This window comes from Homo sapiens, chromosome 19 (assembly GCF_000001405.40).
Source record: "Homo sapiens chromosome 19, GRCh38.p14 Primary Assembly".
Lineage (NCBI taxonomy): Eukaryota > Metazoa > Chordata > Mammalia > Primates > Hominidae > Homo > Homo sapiens.
In genome coordinates this window covers 5,960,452-5,983,775 of record NC_000019.10, presented here as the reverse complement: position 1 = coordinate 5,983,775, position 23,324 = coordinate 5,960,452, and the positions used below count along the sequence as shown (strand labels likewise).

Below are 23,324 nucleotides of genomic sequence, written 5' to 3'. Positions count from 1 at the left end.
GTGGCCAAAAGCTTTCAGAGAGACTGTTCCAGCAATGCTGCAGAAGCTGCATCTCTGTCCGTTATGTCCTAGCGTCGTCAGTTACACGGTGTCATTTCCTGTGTGCTCTATTGATCAGCAAGCCCACCTACATTCAAGGGAAGGGAGCTGCACCCTCCTCTCTTGCTGGGAAAAGGGTCAACGAATTTGGGGCCATATTTTAAAGCTACCACAGTAGGCAACTGACAAATATTTGTGTAAGTGAATGTTGACTAAGTTAATTTGCTACGAGAGGCCAGATGAGGAAAGCTGGCAGCCATCAACACTTGGAGGAGGCTTGCGAAACCACTGGAAACGTCCTTGGCTCATCAGCCTGACAGGTTTTGCGTGTCTCAGTGTCCCCTGAAAAGCCACGACTGGATTCTATTTAGCAAGTGATGACATGGTGCTGCGAGTTTCCCAAAGTGTGGGATGAATGTGGTGTGTGACATGACTTTAGGCGACATGTAGACATGGCGTTAAACGACAATGAATAACATAGATTATGTTAGCCCGTTTTCAATTCTCTTTCACTCCTTCTCATCACATCAGGAAGGAAGTTTCCGCCAAGTGCTGAAGCCTCTTCAATAACGCTCTAATACTTTGCTAATCTCCCTTTGTATCAAAGAAAAAGCAGGCCCAACACCTTGGCAGGCGACAGTATCTACTTTGAATGTGAAAACATTGTTTCATTTTCATGTTTGCTTTTACAATGGTCTACTCATGGCTTAGTGGTTTTCCATTTTAAACGGTGATACGAAGTATCTGTTTAATGTAAATTTAAACCAAAAGAAAAGTATCGGCCGGGCGCGGTGGCTCATGCCTGTAATCCCAGCACTTTGGGAGGCCGAGGCGGGCGGATCACGAGGTCAGGAGATCGAGACCATCCCGGCTAAAACGGTGAAACCCTGTCTCTACTAAAAATACAAAAAATTAGCCGGGCGTAGTGGCGGGCGCCTGTAGTCCCAGCTACTTGGGAGGCTGAGGCAGGAGAATGGCGTGAACCCGGGAGGCGGAGCTTGCAGTGAGCCGAGATCCCGCCACTGCACTCCAGCCTGGGCGACAGAGCGAGACTCCGTCTCAAAAAAAAAAAAAAAAAAAAAAAGAAAAGTATCAAGTTCATGAAAGGTCACACCGTGCAGATATGGTAAAGGCTGAGAAGACCTACCCAAGAGAAGTTTGGGGAAACCTGAAAATAATGAAACCAACACCCCAGGAATGACAGATGACCTGAATTCTACACACTGTGGGTGACCAGGGGGACTGACATTCGAGCTACTCTTAGAGAATTTCTTTCTTTGGTTTTTTTCGAGACGCAGTCTCACTCTGTTGCCCAGGCTGGAATGCAGCGGCGTGATCTCAGCTCACTCCAGCCACCGTCTCCCGCACTCAAGCAATCCTCCCACCTCAGCCTCCTGAGTAGCTGGGACTACAGGTGTGTGCCACCACGCCTGGCTAATTTTTTCTATTTTTGGCAGAGACAGGGTTTTGCCATGTTGCCCACTCAGGCTGGTCTTGAACTCCTGGGCTCATGTGATCTGCCTGCCTCAGCCTCCCGAAGTGCTGGGATTACAGGTGTGAAGTTTCAAATTAACCGTTTTCTTTAGAGACAAGGTCACAATCCGTAGCCCAGCCTGGAGTGCAGTCGTGCCATCCTACCTCACTGCAGCCTGCAACGCCTGGGCTCAAGCCATCCTCCCACTTCATCCTCCTGAGTAGCTGGGGACTACACGTGAACACCACCACAACTAGCTAATTTTTTGCAGAGACAGGATCTCACCATGTTGCCCAGACTGGTCTTGAACTCCTGGGCTCAAGCAATCTGCCCACTTCAGCCTCCCAAAGTGATGGGATTACAGGTGTAAGCCACCACGCCTGGCCATATTGTGTATTTTTTTTTTTTTTTTTTTTGAGACAGTCTCACTCTGTCGCCCAGGCTGGAGTGCAATGGTGTGATCTTGGCTCACTGCAACCTCCGCCTCCTGGGTTCAAGCAATTCTCCTGCCTCAGTCTCCCAAGTAGCTGGGATTACAGACGTGTACCACCACACCTGGCTAATTTCTTATTTTTTTAGTACAGACGGGGTTTCACCATGTTGGTCAGGCTGGTCTTGAACTCCTGACCTCAAGTATTCACCCGCCTTGGCCTCCCAAAGTCCTGGGATTACAGGCGTGAGCTACCGCACCCAGCCCAGATTGTGTATTTCTAATAAGCTTCCAGGTCATGCTGATGCTGCTGGTGTGGGGACACACTGAGAAAGTAGCAGGTTTTTGTTGTTGTTGTTGTTGTTGAGACAGAGTCTCATCTGTTGCCCAGGCTGGAGTGCAGTGGTGCGATCTCAGCTCGCTGAAACCTCCACCTCTCGGGTTCGAGTGATTCTCCTGCCTCAGCCTCCCGAGTAGCTGGATTGCAGGCGCCTGCCACCACACCCGGCTAATTTTTTGTATTTTTAGTAGAGACGGGGCTTCACTGTGCTGGCCAGGCTGATTTTGAACTCCTGATCTCGTGATCCACCTGCCTCAGCCTCACAAAGTGCTGGGATTACAGGCGTGAGCCACCGCGCCCGGCTGAAAGTCAGGTTCTTGAAAAAAATCTGGTGTGTGGCCGGGCACAGTGGCTCACACCTGTAATCCCAACACTTTGGGAGGTCGAGGTGGGTGGATCACTTGAGGTCAGGAGTTCGAAACCAGCCTGGCCAACATGGTGAAACCCAGTCTCTACTGAAAATACAAAGATTAGCCAGGCATGGTGGTGAGCGCCTGTAATCCCAGCTACTGGGGACGCTAAGGCAGGAGAATCGCTTGAACCCGGGAGGCAGAGGTTGCAGTGAGCTGAGATCGCGCCACTGCACTCCAGCCTGGGCAACAAAGCGAGACTCTGCCTCAAAAGAAAAAAAAAAAAAAAAAAAAGAATCTGGTGTGCTACTACTGCGCATGTCCTCCCAACTCTGGTGCTAGTGACATCCCATTAGTAACAATATAGGCCATGGCTGAAGGATTCACACCCAGAAAATCAGCAGACGCTACAAAACAGGGTTCAATTTGTTTTATTAATTGTCTTGTGGTCTTAAGAAAGTGATAGAAAAATAAGTAAAATTTACAATAAACTATATACACACACATAAATACATACTAACGAATACATTCTCTTCCAGAGAAGCTGCTGTTAAATATTTACCACATCCCACTGGCTGTTCAGAAAAGTTTAACAACCATGTAAATACATGTGTCCTGGATTAGGAACTGGCAAACTTTTTCTGTAAAGACACAAACAGTAAATGCTTTAAGTTTTGTTGGCCAAAAAGTTTCTGTTAAAAAAAAAAATTAGCTCTAATGTCACAGCTCAAAAGTAGCCAGAGACAATATATAAATGAGTAAGCATTGGCTGTTTTCAAATAAAACTTTATTTACAGACACTGAAATGTAAATTTCACACCATTTTCACATCAATAGATATTCTTCTTTTGGTATTTTTTTTCCCAACCAGCTAAAAATGTAAAAAAATCGGCAGGCGCGGTGGCTCATGCCTGTAATCCCAGCACTTTGGGAAGCCAAGGTGGGCAGAGCACCTGAGGTCAGAAGTTCGAGAGCAGCCTGGCCAACATGGTGAAACCCTGTCTCCACAAAAAAACACAAAAACTAGCTGGGTATAGTAGTACACAGCTGTAATGCCAGCTACTCAGAAGGCTGAGGCAGGAGAATCACTTCAACCCGGGAGGCGGAGGTTGTAGTGAGTCGAAATTGTACCACTGCACTCCAGCGTGGGCAACAGAGTTAGATTCCAAAATAAATAAAAGAAAGGGAAGGGAAGGAAAGGGAGGGAGGGAACAAGGGGAGGGAGGGAGGAACCATTTTTAGCTCATAGACTATATCTGGCCCACAGATTGTAGTACTCCTCGCTCTCTTTTAGATCATACTCAAAAAGGTGCAGAGCTGGGACTCCAACCTAGGTAAGACCTGAAACACAAGGTCCCAGGCAGAGAGACGACCAAGTGCAAAGACCCTTAGGTTGGAATGAGCTTGTGCTCCAAGGATGGAAAGACCCACGCGGCTGAACAGCAATGAGCAAGGGGGAACAAAGCAGGGCATGGGAGCCAAGTTCAGGGGACTTCATAAACCTGAATACAAGGTTTAGGATATTCCAAGTTCAGCTGAGAGCCCTCTGGAAGCACTGAGTGGCCTTGATATTTCCATTTTCAGTCTATGTGTATATATATATATATACACACACACACATATATATGCACACGTGTATGTATATATCTGTGTGTATATATATAGATAAAAACAAAGTATATATGTGTATATATATGGGGGAGGTTCTTGCTGTGTCCCTAGGATGGTGGCAGTGGCACTGTCACAGCTCACTGCAGCCTCAACCTCCTGGGCTCAAGTGATCCTCCTGCCTCAGCCTCCCAAGTAGCTGGGACCACAGGCTTGCACCACCACATCCGGGTAATTTTTGTGTTTTTGTAGAGATGGGGTCTTGCTCTGTTGCCTAGGCTGGTTTTGAACTGAGCTCAAGCGATCCTCCCACCTTGGCCTCCCGCAGTGCTGGGATTCCAGGGGTGAGCTACCGCGTCTGGCTGATTATATTTTTCAAAGACTCCTCAGCCTGCGGCCATGTGCAGAACCAAGCCTGGGGCTTCAAAAGAATGCAGCAAAGGATAGCAGAGAGGCCGCTGTCCAAGTCTTCCATGAGATAGATACGGACGATGTGGCCTAGGGTGGTGACAGCCTGGGGGTGACAATGGGTGGCTCTGGGCTGTATTTTGGAGGCAAGGCCAAGTCCGAAGGATTTGCTGAGAGATTCATAGCAGGTGAGTAGAGAACAACTCCAGGGTGTCCAGGACCCTCCCATGAGCCTTGTGAGTGAGGCTGATGGTCCCATTTTACAGATGGGTAACCTGGAGGCGCGCGGTTCCCCTCCCATGAGCTTGTGAAGTTGATTCTCGTAGCTCCGAGGGGTCGAGTCCCTCGCGCCGGCTCCCCCCGCCCCCAACGCCAGCACCTGGGTCCCAGGGCTGCGCCCCCTCCTAGAGCCTGACCACGACCCCCGCCCCCGCCGATGAGCTCTGATTTACCCCCCAATCCCAAGCACCCCGCGCCCTCTCGCCACTTCCCCCGTGGTTTCAGGAAAGCGTTTGCCGAAGGTACCGGCTCCTAAGGCGGGTAAACTGAGGTAGGAGGCAACGCGTCTCCCGCCCGCGCGTGTGGGAAGCCCCCGCAGGCCCGGCGATTTACCTGGAGGAAGGCCTCGGCTGCGGCGCCCTGAACTGCTCACTGTCCCACCGCGGGGGAACCCCGGAAAACGAGTGGGAAAACGAGTGCTTCAAGACCCGCCTCGGGCCGCGCGGTGCCGCCTCACTAAACCTTAGTCGCTGCCACTGCGCATGCGCCCTTCCCGGCCCTTTCCCCGCCCTCTCAGTCGGCGGGAAAAGGAGGCGGGAGATGGCTCGTGCGCAGGTGCGTGCTAGGAGCGCGGCTCGTCAGGGCAGGCTGCTCTGCAGGGCAGGCGATCCGGGGCTCGCCTCCGCGCGGCATTCAGCGCGCAGGCGCGAGCTGGCCGCCTCACACGGAGTCGGCTTGTTAAGTGCGCACGCGCGGGAGTTTCTGGCAGAAAGCAGGCGAGCCTGGGCCGGCGCGGGGCCTTGTGGGAGGGCTTAAGGAAGTAAAATGGCGGACCTGGCGAACGAAGGTAGGGGAGGCGCCGTTGGGGACCGGCTGGCGGCCGGGGAACGGGCGGCGGGAGGACTAGGGGCCACAAGCCCTTGGGGGGAGCACCGCAGAGTGCAAGGGTTTCGTCCGCTCCAGGCTAGCGCCGTGGCGGGCCTTGCAGCCGCCCCCTATTGCGTCCCCTCAGGCCGGGCTCACCGGCCCGGCCCATCACTCCCGGCAACCCCAGCCACTGCAGCCGTCTGGCTAGAGGAGCCGGGTGGCCATCGGGATCGCAGCCCTAAGGCCCCTCTGCGTCGCAGCCAAGCTCGGGGCTGAAGGGGGCGGGAGGCGCGGCCCCAGTGCTTCGGCCACGGATGTAAATAGACCTTAGGGCCTGGTTGTGGCCCGGAGCGCGCCACGCTCCCTCCCCGCCCCCTCGTCCTCCGCCACCCGGCATCTCCCCTTCCCCGGCCTGGCTGCCTATCTCCTAAGCCCGTGAGGCCCTCGTCCTCCGCGGGCCAGCCGCACACCGCGGACGGAGGAAGCCCAGGCCGTTTTCACCCCGTCCCCGCCCCGAACTTCGGCCCCCACTTCCCGCCAGTTCCCCCCGGATCCTTCGGGGCGCTTCGTCTCCCCCTCATTTAGGCCCCGCCGCAGGATCTGGGCCGCCGAAAACCCTGGCTGCTCTTTGGCCCTTTTTGCTGCACTTCCAGACAAGAGACCGTGCGAGTCCCTCCTCTGTGGAGCGCTGACAGCCCACCTGAGTGTTTTTGACAAGGTTACACTTCCAGATCCCCCGAGAAGGCACCATAAGGCTGATGTCTGCTTCCATCCATAGTCGTGTTGCCATCGCTGTAGCTTCAAGACTTCTGAGGCCTATTTTTAGCTCCCCCCCTTTTCTAGTTGCACAAATGCAGGCAAGCTCTCTACCTGTCTGGCTCTGATTCCCCCATTCGGTGCTCCCTGTGACTGGAGGGTTTTCCCTACCGAATTGCAGTAATGAATGAATGATGATAGGAAGTGCTTGGTCTTGTGGAGCATTTAGGGTAGTTACCAGGTGTGGTGCAAAGTCTTGACATACTGTTTTCCCTGGTAGGAGGTATAGATACTGTTAGCCCCATTCACTTGATGAGGAGACTGAGTCAACGTGGTTAAGTCGCTTATCCAAGGCGTGTCACACAGCTGGGAAGGAGCAGGGATGTGAACCAAGATGGCCTGGCTTCAGATGCCAGACCACGGGTGCTCAGTCCCTGCAGATTCTGATTCTGTGTGGTGTTGGGCGGGCGCTGGGCATCTGTACAGGCAGCAGCACAGGTTCTCTCCCTGATTCTTGGCCATTTTATTCTATTTTATTTTTTGGGACGGAGTCTAGCTCTGTAGCCAGGCTGGAGTGCAGTGGCGCCATCTCGGCTCACTGCAATCTCCGCCTCCCGGGTTCAGGTGATTCTCCTGCCTCAGCCTCCCGAGTAGCTGGGATTACAGGCGCGCACCACCACACCCAGCTAATTTTTGTGTTTTTAGTACAGACGGGGTTTCACCATGTTGGCCAGGATGGTCTCCATCTCCTGACCTCGTGATCTGCCCGCCTCGGCCTCCCAAAGTGCTGGGATTACAGGCGTGAGCCACCGCACCCGGCTGCTACATCTCTTTTTTTAAGATAAAGGAGCCCATGGAGGGTTGCAGCATTCCAACTCATGAGATCTAGTTACAGAGGGACTGGGTAAGTGGGAATCAGTATGACATATTTTATGTATTTACATCCTGAGCCCACATAGCTTCTTGAACTCAGGACTCATGTCCAGCATCACATTTCGACATCTCCATTTGGATGTGTCATAGGTAAGTCTAGAGCGTTTCCAAAACAAAATCCTTATCTCCCCCACTACACCTGCCCATCCCATGGTCTTTCACCCATTGTAGTTAGTTAGGCAGGTCCATTCTTTGAATTCTTCTGGCCCCAAACCTTGAAGTCACCCCTGGTTTCCCTCTTTCTCATACTGCACAGCAAATACTATCATTTCTACCTTAAAATTATTCCCAAAGGGGGACCACCACTTCTCCCCACCAACACCGTCAATGCTTAGCCCCCGTTCCCTCCACCCTTACCCATCTGAGAACTTCTCAGCCCATAGTGGGCCCCAATATGTCCCTGTCCTTCTCTCTCGCCACTCTCTGCTGCCTTGCTCTGTGCTAACTACTCTGGCTTTTTCAGTTTTCCTTGAATGTTGCATACACTCCCCGCTTTTAGCCTTTTCTCCTGCTGATTCCTCTAACTGAAACAGTTTTCCCCCAGATACCCCCATGGCTCACTTCTTCTGGTTTTTACTCATATATGTTACTTTATTAATGAGAGCTTCTCTGGCCACCTATTTCAAATTAAATCCATGTTCTCTATTCCGTTCACCCTGCTTGATTTTCCTGTATAGCTCTTAACAATCCGGCATGCTAGATATTACATGCATGTTTGCCCCATGTAAGCTCCATGAGGTCAGGGATTTTTATGTTATGATCACTGATTGCCCCCTTGCATCTAGAACGGTGCCTGGCACAGAGTAGGTACACAGGAAATATTGGTTGAATGAATGAATGCATGAATGAATGAATTCACCAGTGAGGACCCTGTTGTGAGGAATACATTTGAGCACAAAGGGGAAATTATGGCTTGCCCTTTTCCAGGGGATACTGTTTCTAGCATATGCTGTCCACATGAGCTATTGGTTGTAAATGGGATAGTTGAACTGGTAAGGGCCAAAGAGAGAAATGGAATGTTTTGAACTTCACTTTTTTTCCCTAGTAAGTGCCACACTCACCTAGCACGTTGTCCCTGACGCTAGTTCTGGGATAACTGTCCTCAGGAAATCAAATCTTGGTGGACTTTGTGCCTCATATATCCCTGCCGTCCTTCAATCAGTCATTGTGTGTTTCTTGAACACTCCATTTCTGGTTTTGGCTTGTACAGCCTGCCAGGATGTTTAATTTGTTATTCACTGTGTAAAGTGGGGCCTCCTTGCCTGTGCCTTTTGAAGCTTTAGGGGCTGCCCCATGGTCACGTGTTTGTTCTTGCTGTTTAAGCTCTAGTCAAATGCCCTCTTGGCTTCTGCCTTTCCAGACTGAGATCATAAGTTGCTCCACCCTCACACCCAGTCCCTCCTCCATCCATTTGCCATCTCTCTTCTCTGGGCCAGTCCCACCTCTGTGTCAGGCTGAGCAGCGGCTGTCCACCCGGCTGGGCATCAGTACCCCCTGGGGAACTTTCCTGAAACCGCAGATGCTCAGTCGCCACGCCCTGCAGATTCCGATTCTCTCTGGTGTTGGGTGGGTTCTGGGCCTCTGTACAGGTGGCAGCACAGGTGATTCTCATGTGCAGGCAGGGTTGAGACCCGCTGGTTTGAGTAGTAGAGGGTAGGTGTCCTCTGCTTGTATACGAGGAAATGTTTTCTGTTGTGTAAAGCATCTTGTTGGCCCTCGTCACCATGGTGAACGCCTCATGGATGGTGACAGCAACTCTCACAGCCCTTCCTGTGGTCTGGGACTTTTAAAGTCCACCTGAGTGCTTTTCCTCTCAGACAGTGTGTGTGCATGTTTCACCCTTGCATCCAGGGATAAGTCTCCCCTGCTTGGCATTTCCCCATTGATACCTCCCAGACTCATTACTCATCCTGTCTCTAGGGTTATGCTGCATTGTAGGCTGACATCAGGATTTGAAGGCAGAGTTTTGTCCCTGGCAAAGGTAAAGAAGACTGGAAAGAGGGTGAGCAAAGCACATTTGAACTCCAGGGAATCTTGGATTCTAGATCCTGACATGAAAGGCCCTGTTGGCCTGTGGACATGCGTGGTGGAAACCCGGGAGACAGTGTGAAGCAGGGCTCTCACCTTTGTGTGGTGCAGTTGACGTTTTGATGGCTCTCTTTGGCGGGAGGGGCTGTCCTGTGCGTTGCAGGATCCTTAGCAGCACGGTAGCATCCTTGGACCTACTCACTAGATGCCAGTAGCACACACCTCCCCTCACTCGCGGGGTCGTCATGACAACAGAAGAAGTCTCCTGACACAGCCCCTGGGGAGTGGGGGTGGGGAGGCTGCAGAATCGCCCCCAGGTGAGAGACTCACTGGTATCGATGGTGGGGACACAGGCTTTGGTCCTCAGAGAGCTGGGTTTGTGTTTTAACTCCGCTGTCCACTCTGAGTCATTTGGGGCAAATTTCTTAACCTCTTTGAGCCCCCCGTTTCCACACCAATAAAATGGGAATAATGGTAACCACACCCACCTCGTGGTTGCTGTGAGCATTGAAGGAATGAGTGCACATACATTGTTTAGCACCAGTCTCTGCTCATAGTAATAAACACTCAGGTCACTGTTTTTACTACAGTGCACTCTGCTCTGGACACATTCAGCTGAAGGGTTCAGCAAAGTCTCCATTGTGTGGGTGAACCTGCCCCACTCAGAGTTGGCCCTGGGCTGAGCCCCTGGCAGAAGACCAGCAGGGCCTGGGCTCTGGGTCCTCCTAAGTTCTGTCCTGCCTGTCACTTAGTGATCTCAGGGATCCCAGCCTGAGCACTACAGACATCTGGGGCCAGGTAATTCTCTGTTGTGGGCGATTGCGCTGTGCACTGTAGGATCTTAATGAGGATCCCTGGCCTCTACCCCACTAAATGCTAATAGCACATCCCCCTCCTCATCCCCGCCAGTCATGACAGTGGAAATGTCTCCGTCCCAGTGTCCCCCCGGGGGCAGAGTTGCTTTCAGTTGAGAACTACTGATTTAAAAGCCTGACCAGGTATGAGTCGAGAGATTTTTGAGGGTGGTTTGGCTTCTCTCAGCTTGCACCTTGTTGACTTAAAACCTAGCCCCTGAGAGGGTGAGATGCAACTGAATTTTTATTGGTTAGCTAGAACTGAAATAGTTGGAACCTATCTTAAACAACTTTTGGAAAGTTTCTCGTGAATTTATTATAAAAACTAATTCTGGGATTTTTGCTTAGAGCAGAATGTGTGCTTTCACCTCCACTGTGCCTCCTGTATCTGTAGCAGAAGGGGCCTGATGGTACCCAAGGGGTATCCAGGCTGCAAAATCTTTATACTCTTTGAAGAGACTTTCCATTTTGCCCAGGATCCTGCGTATAGACAGAAAAGCCCTCACTGGGCTTCTGCAAAATGTTTCAAACAAGCCTTCAGCCTGCCTCTCCGTTTACCAGAAAATGGGATTTTCCCGGCACCCTCGTGCATTCATTAGGTGTTAGGGTCAACCTGGGTCTGGTGTGTGCTCCTCCTCTGAGGTGGTCAGAGTGAGCAGAAGCAGCAGGAATGGGGTGAGCTTCGAGTGGCATTTGGAGGAGCTTGGGGTGGAGAAGGGGGGTTGAATTCTGCCCTCCTACGTGAGTTCAGACAGTGAATAGGCCTGGGTGTAGTGGGAGACGAAGGCCATTTGGGGAAAGTTGAGATGCATTTGGGGAATCTGAGAAGAGAGCGCCGTTCCTCAAAACTTACCAGAGGACCACAAAACTGCCGAGATGGCTGGTATTGGCTTGGCTGGGCATTTGGTAGCTCTCCATGGTACTTTGAAGCAATCGTGAGGCAGTTGGGCTTGCATCATTATCTATTCAGGGTCTGGTGGTGATGTTTTCTTTGTTTTAGGGGGTCCTGGTGGAGCGGTGTTCTGTTTGACTCTGCCCTACGCAGTAGAGAATAACGTGGCCTGGGACATCAGGGTAAAGCTCCTCACCACCACCTTCCACATGTCCACAGTTTGCTTCCTCCTCAGTAGTCTTGGCACTTAGAGCTGCCACACAGCACTAGCTATGGATCTCAGCCCTGGATGGGCTTCACACTTGTTTAAGGAGGTTGTCAGGGAAAATCAAAACTGCTGCCTGGGCTGCACCATTGGAGATGGTTCCAGGAGTTCTAGGGTGTCTGTGGTTTTAAAGAGCTCCACAGATGTTTAACAACATGAAGCCAGAGTTGAAAACCACAGGCAGAAGTTGCAAACTTGCCTGAAGGGCAAGCAGACATATTTAATTTGGCCCATTTAGGTTTTTGTTTGTAATTAGGAGCCAACACTTAAAATTCTGAGATTTCAGAGGGGAAAAAAATTGTATTTCTGATTTCTCTCAGAAAACAGCAACCACCCTTGGCCTGCATTCTTGCACAGCAGTGATTTTTCAGTGCTAAGGAACAGCTGCGCCTGTGGATAGATTAGATTGGATATTGTGGTCTCCGCCATGTTACTTGGGGCCTAGCCCACTTCCTTCTCTTCCAGTGCCTGTGACCTTGGTTGGTATTTGGGTTTCAATCCTATTATACAGACTCCTAGACTCTGCATTCTCTACACTTAGAGTGCTCTTTAGCTAGAACCTTAGCATAAAGCACCTCATGGTCTGTAATTTAGGATTTAGTGTCCTTGGAATGCTAGAACTCAGATAGCATATGGCAGCAGTTCTCAAAGATGGTCCGGGGCCCTGCAGTCCCCAAGACCTTTTCAAGGGGACTGCAAGTTCAAAACTATTTCATAACAACACAAAGACACTATCTGCTCTTTTTTCACTCTTATTCACTTGAAAATGGACAGTGGAGTTTTTTTCCAGAGGTTATTGGATGTGTGATATGCCAACAGATGAACTATAGAAGCAGATAAGAGAATTCAGGCCGGGCACAGTGGCAAACACCTGCAGTCCCAGCTACTTGGGAGGCTGAGGTGGGAGGATCTCTTGAGCCCAGGAGTTCAAAGCCAGCCTGGGCAACAAAGCCCCTCTCTTTAATAAAAAAAAAAGAGAGAGAATTCAGCTATCTTCTATTAAGTCAGACGTTAAAGACATTTGTCAAAATGTAAAATAATGCCACTCTTCTCAGATTTTTTTAAATACTTATTTTTCATAAAAATATGTTATTTAACTAAACCTTTCTGGAGTTTATTATAATCTTAAGTATTTTGAAATTGTCTTAGGTTTCATTTCTAATATGGTGTCAGTAGTAGCTACATCCCACATTTCCAAAAGCTCTTGGGGATGTTCAGTCATTGACAAGCGTGGAAAAGGGTCCCGAGACCAGGAAATTTGAGAACCACTGGCATGTGCTAGCAGAGCCTCAGTGTACAGTGTGGGTTTCTCCGCTGCCTTGCCAACATCGGGAGAATTCTAAACCAGAGCTGACCAGCAGGTTCCCATTGGCAACTTGTGGCATGGTTGGAAGCACCTGGATTGGCTGTCCTTGGTTTGTGTCTTGCCTTCTGCCCTAGAAACATGGGCAAGTTGTCTGACCTTAGCTCTTGCATCTGTAAAATGGGAACGATGATACGCAAGTCTGAGGATTGTGGTGTGAGAGAGAATATACTTCTGGTAATTGACCTACTGGAATGTGGAGATACATGTCAGTTACTTCTAGCTGTGATTCTCCTAATTGGATGCCTGAGTAGAGAGAAAGCACCCTGTGAGTTATACCAGGGTTTTTCCACCTCAGTATTCTTGACATTGGGGCTGGTGGTGGCCATCTTGTGCTTTGGAGGATGTTGGGTAGCCCCTCTAGCCTCTACTCATGTGATGCCATAGCACCCAGTCATCCCACCCATCCACTCCCAGTCATGAGAAGATAAAAGGTCTCCAGACACTGTCCAGTGTCCCCTTAATGTCAGAATTGCCCCCACTTGAGAACCATTGGGTTATGGGATTTCATTGACACCCAAGAGACTTTGTGTTCCATAGTTATCTAACCTACTGAGGTCGTAGGAGCCTGTACACATTTAAAGCCACAGTCTGAGTGGGGAGGGAGAGAGGCGGTGAATCCCAGAAGCCAGGGTGGGGGGTCACCCTGGTTTGTGCCATCTAATCTATTGGGGATTTATTTTGGTGTATAATGTGAGTTAGAGATCCAGCTCAATTTTTTTGCCCAAGATTAATGCAAGGTTTCTTGCCCTCAGCTCAGTTGACATTTGGACTTGGGTCACTTGCTGGTAGGGCACTGTTCTGAGCCTCCTAGGATGTTGGTCAGCATCCCTGGTCTCCATCCACTAGATGTCTGTAACAGTTTCCTCCACACCCCCACAAACATGACAGTCACAATGTCTCCAGATTTTGACCAGTGTCTCCAGGGAGATGAAGTTACTCCTGGGTGAGAACCACTGGTCATAGGATCAAAGGAACCTACCCAGGAATAAATTAATTGCCAGCTAGAGTTTAAGGCCCTTCCTCCCAACCTTATTTTTCTATTCTGGCCTTTTGGCAGCTGAGTAGGCCTCAATGGACATCATATCCCTCTTCAGGAAGAACAGTCTTTTCCTTGACCTTTAACACTGCCTCTGGTCCAGGGTGAGGACCTGACAGAATGTAAGGGCTGGGAAGAACCTTCAGGGATGCCTGAGTCCTGGCTGCACCATTTCACAGGGGCTGAAGCCCGAGGCCATGGAAGCAGGTAGGGCTGGCTAGGGCCAGTGCGCCTGTCTCCAGCCATGGAGTCTAGGAGTTCATGCTTGTCCTTCCCGGTGAGTCAGTAAACTCTAGGTAATGGGCACTCGTTCACCCCTGAAAACTGACCCGCGTAGGGCACTGCATTTCGCTGTCGCTGTTTATGGTGTTCAAAGAAAGGGAGGAAATTCTAGAGACAGTAGTAGTTACTCCATACACATGTTTAGAAGGCAGGCCTTGCCTTTTGCAGTAAGTTTAAAATGCCTTTGCTAAATTAAACTCCCCCAGGTTTGCCACAGAGAATTTTGGGAACTTATTTACCCAGAATTAATTCCTGCGTTGCATCTGTGAGAGCAGAGCGTGAGTGGAAACGGTCCTTGAGAACTTGCCTTTCTCTGGGGGAGAGGGTGAGAAAACAGGCAGTTACCCTCTGCTCAGAGGAGAGAGGATGTTTTGCAGCATTGATGGTGATGGCCACTGGGTCCTAAGAGTCCAGAGCCTGGGCCCCAACCTTTACACTGGATAAATCCAGATTTGTCAGCATGGCCTGCAAGGCTGAACGTCCTGTGGGCTCCACCCAGCCCTTCCCGTTCTCCTCCCCTCCAAACATGGGCCTCCAGGCTCTTCCTTTCCTTAGAACCTTTGACTTGGGGTCCCCTCTGCCTGGGATCCCCTGCCTTCACCTGGCTCATCCCTGCTCACCCTTCATGTGTGAGCTTCAGCGAGGCCTTACCCATTCACTCACTCTCTCCCACCATCCTGTGGTATTTTCTCTGCAGCACCCAGCTCCAGAACTACCCAGTTATCTCTGCACACAGCAGGTACTTGTTTGTTTTCTCTTTCCCAGTAGAGAGCTGCGGCCTTGTCTGCCATTTCTTTCCTGTCTCCAGTGGCAAGCTCGGTGCCTAGCACAAGTCTGTGCTTGGTAGATCCTGCTGGTGAGAGCAAGGCTTGGCTGCTCGGCTCGGCCTGCCTTCAGATCCCACCTGTTTCCTGTGACCTCAGAAGGGCTCAGGCATTCCGAGCACCTGAGCGTTTGCCTTGAGTGTCCCAGGCGTCCAGGCAGCTCTTGGATCCAACCATTCCACCCCCTAAAAGGGGTCAGACTCTGACGCATTTGTCGTTGCCGGGCACTGGCAGCTGTCCTTGAATCCAAGGCCTATGCTTTAAGGTGGCATCAATATGTTTGCAATCTTCCGAGCATAATAATGCTACCAGTGCCAGTGTGGAATCATCCTGTGTGCCAACCACTTCCCCAAACACGGCATGTGCAGCATTTCATTTCATCCTTGCCGAAGCTGCCTGGGGTGAAATAACAGCCCTGATATGCAAATGAAGACATTGTGCCAGAGGTACATTGTCTTATCTGGGATCCCAACCGCAAGTAAGTGGCCAGGGCAGGTTTGAACACACACAAAGACCAGAGCCCGCGCTCTCCAGTATCATCAGTTTTGCTCTGCTGCCTCAGCATAAATTCTGTAGTTCTTGGATTTCCTTCCTGTAAGCTTCCGTGTAGAGAGGAGGGGATTCCTGTTGTCTCTACTGGAACTTTCCCGAGTCTTCAGCCACTTGCATGTTGCCTCAGCTGTGTTGGTGTCACACCACCTAGTGGCGGAACAGAAAAGTGCCGTTAAAGCTGGATCCTCCATCTCTCCACGCAGTTTTTTCTTTTTTCTTTCTTTTCTTTTTTTTTGGAGACAGAGTCTCACTCTGTCGCCCAGGCTGGAGTGCAGTGGTGCTATCTCAGCTCACTGCAACCTCCACCTCCTGGGTTCAAGTGATGCTTGGGTCTCAGCCTCCCGAGTAGCTGGGATTACATATCCCACCAGGCCCAGCTAATTTTTGTATTTTGGGTAGAGACACGATTTCACCATGTTGCCCAGGCTGGTCTCAAACTCCTTTCCTCAAGTGATCCACATGCCTCGGCCTCCCAACGTGCTGGGATTACAGGCATGAGCCACTGAACCCAGCCATCCATACAGTTGTAGGCAGAGTTGCTGACTTTGTATAACTTTATGGGGTTTCTGTTCAGAAGTGCAAGTTCTGCCCCCCGGGGCTTACGGTCTGGGTGGCGCAGGAGTGGAAGCTTAGAAGGGTTTGGCTGCAGGGCTGATAAAGGTAGAAATAAAGAAGGCAGAATGTGGCTTGGCCCTCATGGGGTGGAGTGGGATATGAGGAGGATGTCATGGGGATGCGTCTATGATGAATGAGACTAGATATGTAAAGTACCTACCTCGGAGTCCAGTAAAGGCCTTTTAACAAATGCCTGTTGCCCCTGCAATGCTTGTTGGAAGTGTAAGTATCTGGTGGTGAGATGAGAGTGGTTGGAAGTTGGCTTGGAGTTCGGTAGTTGAAGGTAATGCCAAGATGATGAGCATTCCAGAAAGAAGTACATAAAATGTAGGATATCATCAGCTCCAAAAAGTGTGTCCCCATAATCTCCATGAGACCAGTTGAAAGTTATAGAAATATATTCGAGTATTGAGAAAAGAACGGAGTCATCCAGGGTCCCACCGCCTTCCACTAGCTGGGCTGGAGAACCCGAGCATGCTATACACGGAGATCCGCAGAGGCATCACCTAGCAACTGCATGTTTGAGATCAGTTCCATTCCGTACCAAAGAATCAGTTGGAGGACAGACCTGACACGTCAGTGACAGATTTACCTTTGTGCTGTGGCACAGAACTGTTTATAATAATTTCTGAAAAAATAAATGACTTGAAGGGTTGTGATCGTGTCACCAGATTACAGGAGTTGCCACATTTTAATAGACTGTTATTTGTGTTGGCGAGATGCTTTCCATATTTTTTTCACAGGTAAGAAGATTAAGACATATCAGCCCAGGATTAAAGCTAATTTTATGCAAGTACCTTGCTGACAGTTTGGTCAGGAGTTCTCAATTGCTTTCTAGATGAGGGCATTTTCTTGGCAGGTATTGGAGTCATCAGTCAGGAGGCGAATAAACAGAAAAAGCAAAGATATTCCAGATTCTCTCTTATATGTGTTTTCCCAGGCCTACGTAGTTTCTTCTATTTAGTTTTAGCGGGAGATCCTCCATGACAGGCTGGAGACAGCCATGGGCTGGTGGGGAAGCAAAGCTTACTGTAAGGCAGGGCTGCCCTTGCTTCTTTGTAAATTATTCTCTGCAGCAGTGAGGAAAGAAAGTTTATACGGAAGAGGAGAGAGGCGGAGGCGAGAGTGTGTGTGTTGTCAGCTTAGATTCTGAATATATTACGCAAAGCATTCCAGGGCCGAACATTTGACAGATGAAGACAGAAAGCAGCTTGTGTCACCATTGAGTGTGTGCCTTGGAATGTGTCTTTGATCCTTGTCTTGACAACCTTAAAGGATTGCAGTCTTGTCGGGGATCAGCCATTGGGATAATCACACACTGTGTTGGCTGAGGCAGGTGGTCATGTGACCTGTGGGAAGCCTTTCACTGACCCCGGAACTCATGACTAGCCCCCTAGTTTGGTTCGTGCTCCTCCATAGGTGCTTATCCAGAACAGCAACTGACAGCTACTTTATTCCTGCTGTCATTTCTCTAAAGGGAAGAGTGTATGTGTTGTAGCTCTGAGGCCTACCTGCACAGAAAAGGTGAGAGGAAGCAAACTGGAGTCCAGGTAACTCCTCCCTTTTGCACACGTAGTTCTTGGCCAGCAGCGGAGTGGAGCGTGGCACTCAGGAGCATGGGCCGGGGCTTCAGAGTCGGCCCACCTGGCCCGAAGACCCGGGCCCACCTCCGACAGGTCGCTTGACCTGATTATCCGTTTCCTTTCCTGTGAAAGGATGTTGGTGTAAGCCACCTCCTAAGGTGGTTGTGGAGATTAGGTGACATGATGCAGATAAAACCTAACACATAAAGAAGTGCTCGAAGAACGCTGGCCACGTATATGAAACCATCACGCGTCTGGGAGACCCCATTTGTGGATGCCTTTGCTGTGCATATCATGGCAGAAACTAAGATAAGTCTAAGAGGTAAAACAGGATTCTACAACCCTTCTTCACCTGGAGCGTTGGGAAACTCACCTTTCTCCCCTGGGCCACCGCTGGGGTTCAGCCCAGCTCCTTGCTTTCTCCTTTCCTTGCTTGCAGTAGGCTGCAGAGACCTCACTCCTTTCCTTAAGTCTGGGAAGCCCCCACCACCCACCCTGTCCCAAGGGGCTCTACAGCACCCTCTCCCCTCCTTGCTGCCTCTGAAATAGACACAGAATTCATTTTGTCATCAAAGTTTTGCCACCAGTCAGTCTCTTGGCAGAAAAAATACAGATAAAACCTTTTTGAGTCCTGGTCCCTGGAGGCTGCTTGTAGAGGTGCTACCAGGAAGCCTGCTATTTAACTCTCACATGTGGGCTGTTGAAACCGCCCTCCTCCTTTCACCCTCCTTACTCTTTGAAGAGGCAGTATCTGGGCCCTTTCCCTAGATAAAGATGCTGTCCACCAAATTACAGAGGTGACTTCATCAGGGTTCAGGGTGAGGGTTTTATGGACTTCGCACACACACCCCCAAGCCACCTGGGTCCCAGATTGGTCATTTCTGCTTTAGAGGAAGGGCCCACCTCCTCAAGCCCCCCACCTCCTCAGAGACCTACTGCCCCCTGCAAGGAGAACAGTTCCTCTAGGGTCAGGAGGAAGCCTGTATCCCACCAGGGGAAGAGACCCCCTTCCACCAGGATCCCCACCTTCATCGCAGAGATCTTTGGCTCTTTCCTCAAAAAAGCTGTCATAGGAACTGCTTCAATTTGATTGGAGTTTCCTTCCTAGGAGCTTCTACACTGACACATGCAGGTATAAATGTGCAGACCTCAGACCCCAGGGAAGGGCGGAGGTGACCCCCCACCGTGCCACCCCCCCCCCCACCCTACCACCTCCACTTAGCTCCTCTTCCCCCAGGCTGCCCTGTTTTCCAGTCTGTCCCCAAGGCGTGTCCCAAGCATTAGCACAGTACTAGGCCCACTGCATGTGCCACCCTGACCTGGTTCCTCCAGCACTCCTCACTCTGCTGCCGTGTGCTTCCCGGTCATGTGGCCAAATGCTGCTTGTCCTTCTGTCCAGACAGCCCCTCTCCCAGCAGCATTCCCTGATTCACTCCCTTCACAGCCTCACTGGGTTGGAAGCCCCAGCTCTATGTTCCCAGGGCCTGCTGTGCCTCCCCTGTGTCATATGTTCAGATAAGGTGTGATGGGTGCTCTAGACAGACAGGGACGTGTCTCCAGAGGCCGACGCAGTGCTTAGTGCACAGTGGGTGCTGGGATGTGTGGAATTGCTGAGGGAATATTAGGATTGAATCTTTTCATCCTCTGTGCAGCTGGCAGAGTGGTTCCCAGGCTCAACTAGGTGGGACAGAGCACCCTGACAGCCATAGCCACGTGAGGATGACTGGGTGGAGGTGGGGGGGCAGGCCAAGCAGGTCTAAGGGGTTCCCAACATCTGGCAGAAGTTGGAAAGGAGAGCAGAGATGGCCAAGCTTCCTGTGCTGGGGCTGGCTTGCTTCTTAGCCTGTCTGTGCTCATCGCTGGGGCTGCAAAGACCAGGACCAGGACACCGGCCCTGTCCTGGGGAATCCCAGCTGGTCCCATTTTGCATCGGAGCCTCACAAGTGGGTTGAGGGTAGCAGGGGATGGGAGGGAGAGCCAGCACCGTGGGCCCGGATGCCAGCAGGGGCTCACTCCTTTCAGTTTCTGGCCAGGCCATCTTCCCTTGCTGTTTTCCTGGGGTACCAGGGGGCAGCAGGGGACTCTCCCTGGCCTGGGTCTGTGATCATCACAGGATCACAATTGTTGGGCTCAGGCTGGGTGCTGTCTGGGCATGTGAGCTGAGGAGGTTCGCAGGGTAGAGGATGCTAGATGGGACGAGGGTTCTGAATTCAGCAGCAGCCATGTGGGACTTGGTGCACAGTGCCCCTGAAGGCCATGGTGAGGCCAGAGAAGAAGTATGTGGTGGGCCAGAGCACTTCACACATTGTTTGAGGTGACTTGTGTCCAAGGAAGAGGGGCTCAGAATCTCCCCCGCTTCACACACCAGTGTTGTCCACAGTGGTCCTTGAAACGTCATTCTCAGGCCTCATTGTGGATGTCCCTGGAAATGGGGGGGACTCCCTAGTCAAATAACTTTGAGAAGCGTCTGGTCAAATGAGTTTCTTTCCTTTCTCTCTGTTTTTGAGACAAGGTCTCACTCTGTCACCCAGCCTGGAGTGCAGTGGCACGATCATGGCTCACTGCAGCCTCTAACTCCTGGGCTCAAGCAGTCCTCCCACCTCGGCCTCCCAAGTAGCTGGGACTACAGGAGTGCGCCACCATGCCTGGCTATTTGTTTGTTTTTTGTAGAAATAGGGTCTCATTATGTTGCCCAGACAGGTCTTCAACTCCTGGGCTCAAGTGATCCTCCCTCGTCACCCTCCCAAGTGCTGGGATTACAAACATGAGCCACTGTGCCTCGTATTGGTTTTCTAATCTCTTAATATACGGATGTGTAAAGTCAATCTCCAGACAGACTGCATTTTTTACAAACTAGGTTTCAACAGGGAGCATGTTACAGGACCAAAAACAAAAACAAAAAACCCAACCACTTGGTTGACAGATTCTGGGTCAAATAGTCTGCATTTGACTCCTATTTTAATATTAAAGGTCTTCATGGTGGGTCTCTAGAAATCTGCAGTGGTGATCTTCCCTTGACCTGTGAAAGAAAAGCTGGGCTAGGAATTGAAGCAGGTTGTTGAAGCCTCCCTACTTCTGGCCGCCTGTCCATTCCCCAAACTTGAGTTGGAGGTAGCGGTGTTCACACGCTGCTTCCTCACTGGTATAGCCAGAATCAGCCTGGTGATAGGGAATGGCTACGAACAGCAACCCGTGTGTCTGGTGGTCGGGGGCAGTGGGGCGGTCCTGCCTGGAATGGGGCTTGTGTGTCTTGTCTGTTTGCGATAGCCGTGCTGATTTGCAGTTGATCAACCTTTGGCCTGAGTAGAAATGCAGCGTGAGTAACTGACGCTCTGTGTTTTGGGTGCAGATGTGACTAAAGCTCATTTCTACATGTTAGTGCAGTGGCTGGGTCAGTCATGAATGCCAGACCTGCCATCAGCAGGGGTCCCAATGGGCCGAGATGGGCCAAGTTCATCTCCTATTGCTGTATCCTCTTGGTTCCGTTCCTCTGGAGAGCCCTGACCATGGCTCCCTGGGTCCTTGTCCTTGCGGCGTGTGACATTTCATTCACCCTCTAACTGCCGGTTGAGTGCCTGTTAAGTGTGAGGCTCTGTGTTTGGCACTGAGAATACAGAGAGAAACGGAACAGACGAGGCCCCACTTTCTAGAACTTACATCTAGGGGTAGATGCTGTCACCACACACCCCTCTGGGAGTGCCAGGGCTCCACAGTGCCTGGTCACCAAGTGCAAACACGCCCCTCCCTTTCAGTCAGATGTTTTCTCCTGAAGCGTCTGCCCTCAGCTTCCTGTTCTCCACTCTTCCTGTGGCGCCCTGCACAGAATGAGGGCTTAGTAAATATTTGTGAGTACGTAGCAGCTGGTGTTGTGTAGATGAATGACAGAGAGAGGGCCTAGTTCAAACACTCATTGCAGGGTGTTGATGCGGTGTACGCTGGGTGATAGGCTGTTTCAGCTGCTGTGGCCGTGGTCTCCGCGTGCCCCGTGGCAGGATATAAGGCCTGCTCGGGAGGGAGTGCAGCAGGGCAGGCACGCCTCTCACAGTGGGAGCTTCCTGAAGGAGATGGTGTCTGTGCAGGAGTAAGCACTGGCCATGGAAAACAAGGGGAACCACGCGCTCTTGGTAGTGGGACTAAACCAAGCAGAAGTCCAGAAGTGCACCCTAAGTGTGGGACGTGCAGCGACAGCGGGCTTTTCAGTGCCACCACAGTGGGAGGTGGAGGGTGAGTGGCTGGATGTGGCCTGTCTCAAGGTGCTCAGCCTCTAGTCTGTGGGAGACACTGCAGTTTTGTTTTGTTTTGTTTTGTTTTGTTTTGTTTTGAGACAGAGTTTCACTCTTGTTGCCCAGGCTGGAGTGCAATGGCACCATCTCAGCTCACTGCAACCTCTGCGTCCCAGGTTCAAGTGATTCTCCTGCCTCAGCCTCTTGAGTAGCTGGGCTTACAGGTTGCGCCACCACGCCTGGCTCAGTTTTTGTATTTTTAGTAGAGAAGGGGTTTCTCCATGTTGATCAGGCTGGTCTCGAACTCCCGACCTCAGGTGATCCTCCCGCCTCGGCCTCCCAAAATGCTGGGATTACAGGCATGAGCCACTGTGCCCGGCCGACACTGCAGTTTTTGTTTTGTTTTGTTTTGTTTTGTTTTGAGATGGAATCTCGCTCTGTCACCCAGGCTGGAGTGCAGTGGCGCAACCTTGGCTCACTGCAAGCTCAGCCTCCCGAGTTGCTGGGACTAAAGGCACCTGCCACCACGCCCGGCTAATTTTTTGTATTTTTAGTAGAGACAGGGTTTCACCGTGTTAGCCAGGATGGTCTCAATCTCCTGACCTCGTGATCCCCCCACCTCGGCCTCCCAAAGTGCTGGGATTACAGGTGTGAGCCACCGCGCCCGGCCAACACTGCAGTTTTAAGTGTGTGTTTCATGATAGTGCTTCTGGCTGCTCTGTGGAGGCCAGATCTAAGGGAGTGAGAGTAGAGGCAGAGAAGGAAAGGAGGGCTGAATGGTGGCAGGGGTGGGTACAGGAACAAGAGATGGGAGGCAATTGTGGAGGATCTGATTGGACTCCACCCTGGCTTTCTGTTCTCTGGGTGGCTCCTTTCAGAGCTTGACCCTCACGTCCCCTTCCATAGCCTCCCTCTGTCTCCAGCTGGGTCACATGTCCAGGCACAGGACAGGGTTGCTCCATCAGAGGGGCCCTCTCCTGGCCCATGCCCCTCAGCCCTGCCGTGTGTCCAGAAGGCTCCGGGCAGCACCTTGGCACCACAGCCTGCCCAGGCCTCCCATAGTTACTCAAATAGCTGCAGTCCCTTCCGTGCACCTGCAGATCCACCGACACGGTTCTCAACACCAGCGCGCACTCCTCTCCCATCCAAATGGTTCTCTCTCTTCTAGCCCTTCCTTACTAGCCTGGCACCAAGTGTCTTCGCCTCACATTTTCACTAATGTCCTCCTTCCCTCCCCCTTCATGAAGTGTTTGTTGAATCCATAAAGTGTGCCAAGTACTGTTCTCAGGCCATGGGGTACCCAGGGGAACAAAGCAGTCTCGGATCTTATGGAGTTTATATCTTAATGGGTGAGACAGACCATAAACCCATCAATATGGA

At 51.1% G+C, this 23,324-nt stretch overlaps 1 protein-coding gene and 1 long non-coding RNA gene across 16 annotated transcripts in view, besides 10 other annotated features; one reads left to right on the top strand and one right to left on the bottom strand.

Moving 5' to 3' along the window:
• RANBP3-DT (RANBP3 divergent transcript) overlaps positions 1 to 5,373 on the bottom strand; it is a 41,961-nt gene extending 36,588 nt beyond the window's left edge. The window contains exon 1 of the long non-coding RNA NR_046376.1: positions 5,262 to 5,373. This is a non-coding gene — a long non-coding RNA (RANBP3 divergent transcript). The remainder of the gene's footprint in view (positions 1 to 5,261) is intronic.
• Positions 5,243 to 5,292: a silencer, noted in NCBI's record as "silent region_9942". NCBI's record gives its function as "represses an Ori minimal core promoter by ATAC-STARR-seq in GM12878 lymphoblastoid cells {active_cell/tissue: GM12878}" and the evidence as "EXISTENCE:reporter gene assay evidence [ECO:0000049][PMID:35858748]".
• Positions 5,343 to 5,512: a silencer, noted in NCBI's record as "silent region_9941". NCBI's record gives its function as "represses an Ori minimal core promoter by ATAC-STARR-seq in GM12878 lymphoblastoid cells {active_cell/tissue: GM12878}" and the evidence as "EXISTENCE:reporter gene assay evidence [ECO:0000049][PMID:35858748]".
• RANBP3 (RAN binding protein 3) overlaps positions 5,636 to 23,324 on the top strand; it is a 62,002-nt gene continuing 44,313 nt past the window's right edge. For 9 of the 15 annotated variants that reach the window (XM_047439570.1, XM_047439569.1, XM_011528394.2 and 6 more), the window contains exon 1: positions 5,636 to 5,715. In XM_047439570.1, the coding sequence (XP_047295526.1) occupies positions 5,694 to 5,715 (22 nt within the window). In that variant the 5' untranslated portion in view covers positions 5,636 to 5,693. Of the gene's footprint in view, positions 7,396 to 9,344; positions 9,427 to 23,324 lie in introns of all 15 variants that reach the window. The other 6 variants (XM_047439577.1, XM_047439571.1, XM_047439576.1 and 3 more) reach the window with 2 other exon arrangements.
• Positions 5,743 to 5,852: a silencer, noted in NCBI's record as "silent region_9940". NCBI's record gives its function as "represses an Ori minimal core promoter by ATAC-STARR-seq in GM12878 lymphoblastoid cells {active_cell/tissue: GM12878}" and the evidence as "EXISTENCE:reporter gene assay evidence [ECO:0000049][PMID:35858748]".
• Positions 15,504 to 15,798: an enhancer, noted in NCBI's record as "tiled region #310; K562 Activating non-DNase unmatched - State 25:Art". NCBI's record gives its function as "activates a minimal TATA promoter and a strong SV40 promoter by Sharpr-MPRA in K562 cells {active_cell/tissue: K562}" and the evidence as "EXISTENCE:reporter gene assay evidence [ECO:0000049][PMID:27701403]".
• Positions 19,200 to 19,750: an enhancer, noted in NCBI's record as "H3K27ac-H3K4me1 hESC enhancer chr19:5964037-5964587 (GRCh37/hg19 assembly coordinates)". NCBI's record gives its function as "activates a minimal SCP1, AML or CMV promoter by ChIP-STARR-seq in primed H9 embryonic stem cells {active_cell/tissue: H9 hESC(primed)}" and the evidence as "EXISTENCE:reporter gene assay evidence [ECO:0000049][PMID:30033119]".
• Positions 19,751 to 20,302: an enhancer, noted in NCBI's record as "H3K27ac-H3K4me1 hESC enhancer chr19:5963485-5964036 (GRCh37/hg19 assembly coordinates)". NCBI's record gives its function as "activates a minimal SCP1, AML or CMV promoter by ChIP-STARR-seq in primed H9 embryonic stem cells {active_cell/tissue: H9 hESC(primed)}" and the evidence as "EXISTENCE:reporter gene assay evidence [ECO:0000049][PMID:30033119]".
• Positions 20,436 to 21,083: an enhancer, noted in NCBI's record as "H3K27ac-H3K4me1 hESC enhancer chr19:5962704-5963351 (GRCh37/hg19 assembly coordinates)". NCBI's record gives its function as "activates a minimal SCP1, AML or CMV promoter by ChIP-STARR-seq in naive H9 embryonic stem cells {active_cell/tissue: H9 hESC(naive)}" and the evidence as "EXISTENCE:reporter gene assay evidence [ECO:0000049][PMID:30033119]".
• Positions 21,358 to 21,407: a silencer, noted in NCBI's record as "silent region_9939". NCBI's record gives its function as "represses an Ori minimal core promoter by ATAC-STARR-seq in GM12878 lymphoblastoid cells {active_cell/tissue: GM12878}" and the evidence as "EXISTENCE:reporter gene assay evidence [ECO:0000049][PMID:35858748]".
• Positions 21,678 to 21,897: an enhancer, noted in NCBI's record as "active region_13819". NCBI's record gives its function as "activates an Ori minimal core promoter by ATAC-STARR-seq in GM12878 lymphoblastoid cells {active_cell/tissue: GM12878}" and the evidence as "EXISTENCE:reporter gene assay evidence [ECO:0000049][PMID:35858748]".
• Positions 22,381 to 23,030: an enhancer, noted in NCBI's record as "H3K4me1 hESC enhancer chr19:5960757-5961406 (GRCh37/hg19 assembly coordinates)". NCBI's record gives its function as "activates a minimal SCP1, AML or CMV promoter by ChIP-STARR-seq in naive H9 embryonic stem cells {active_cell/tissue: H9 hESC(naive)}" and the evidence as "EXISTENCE:reporter gene assay evidence [ECO:0000049][PMID:30033119]".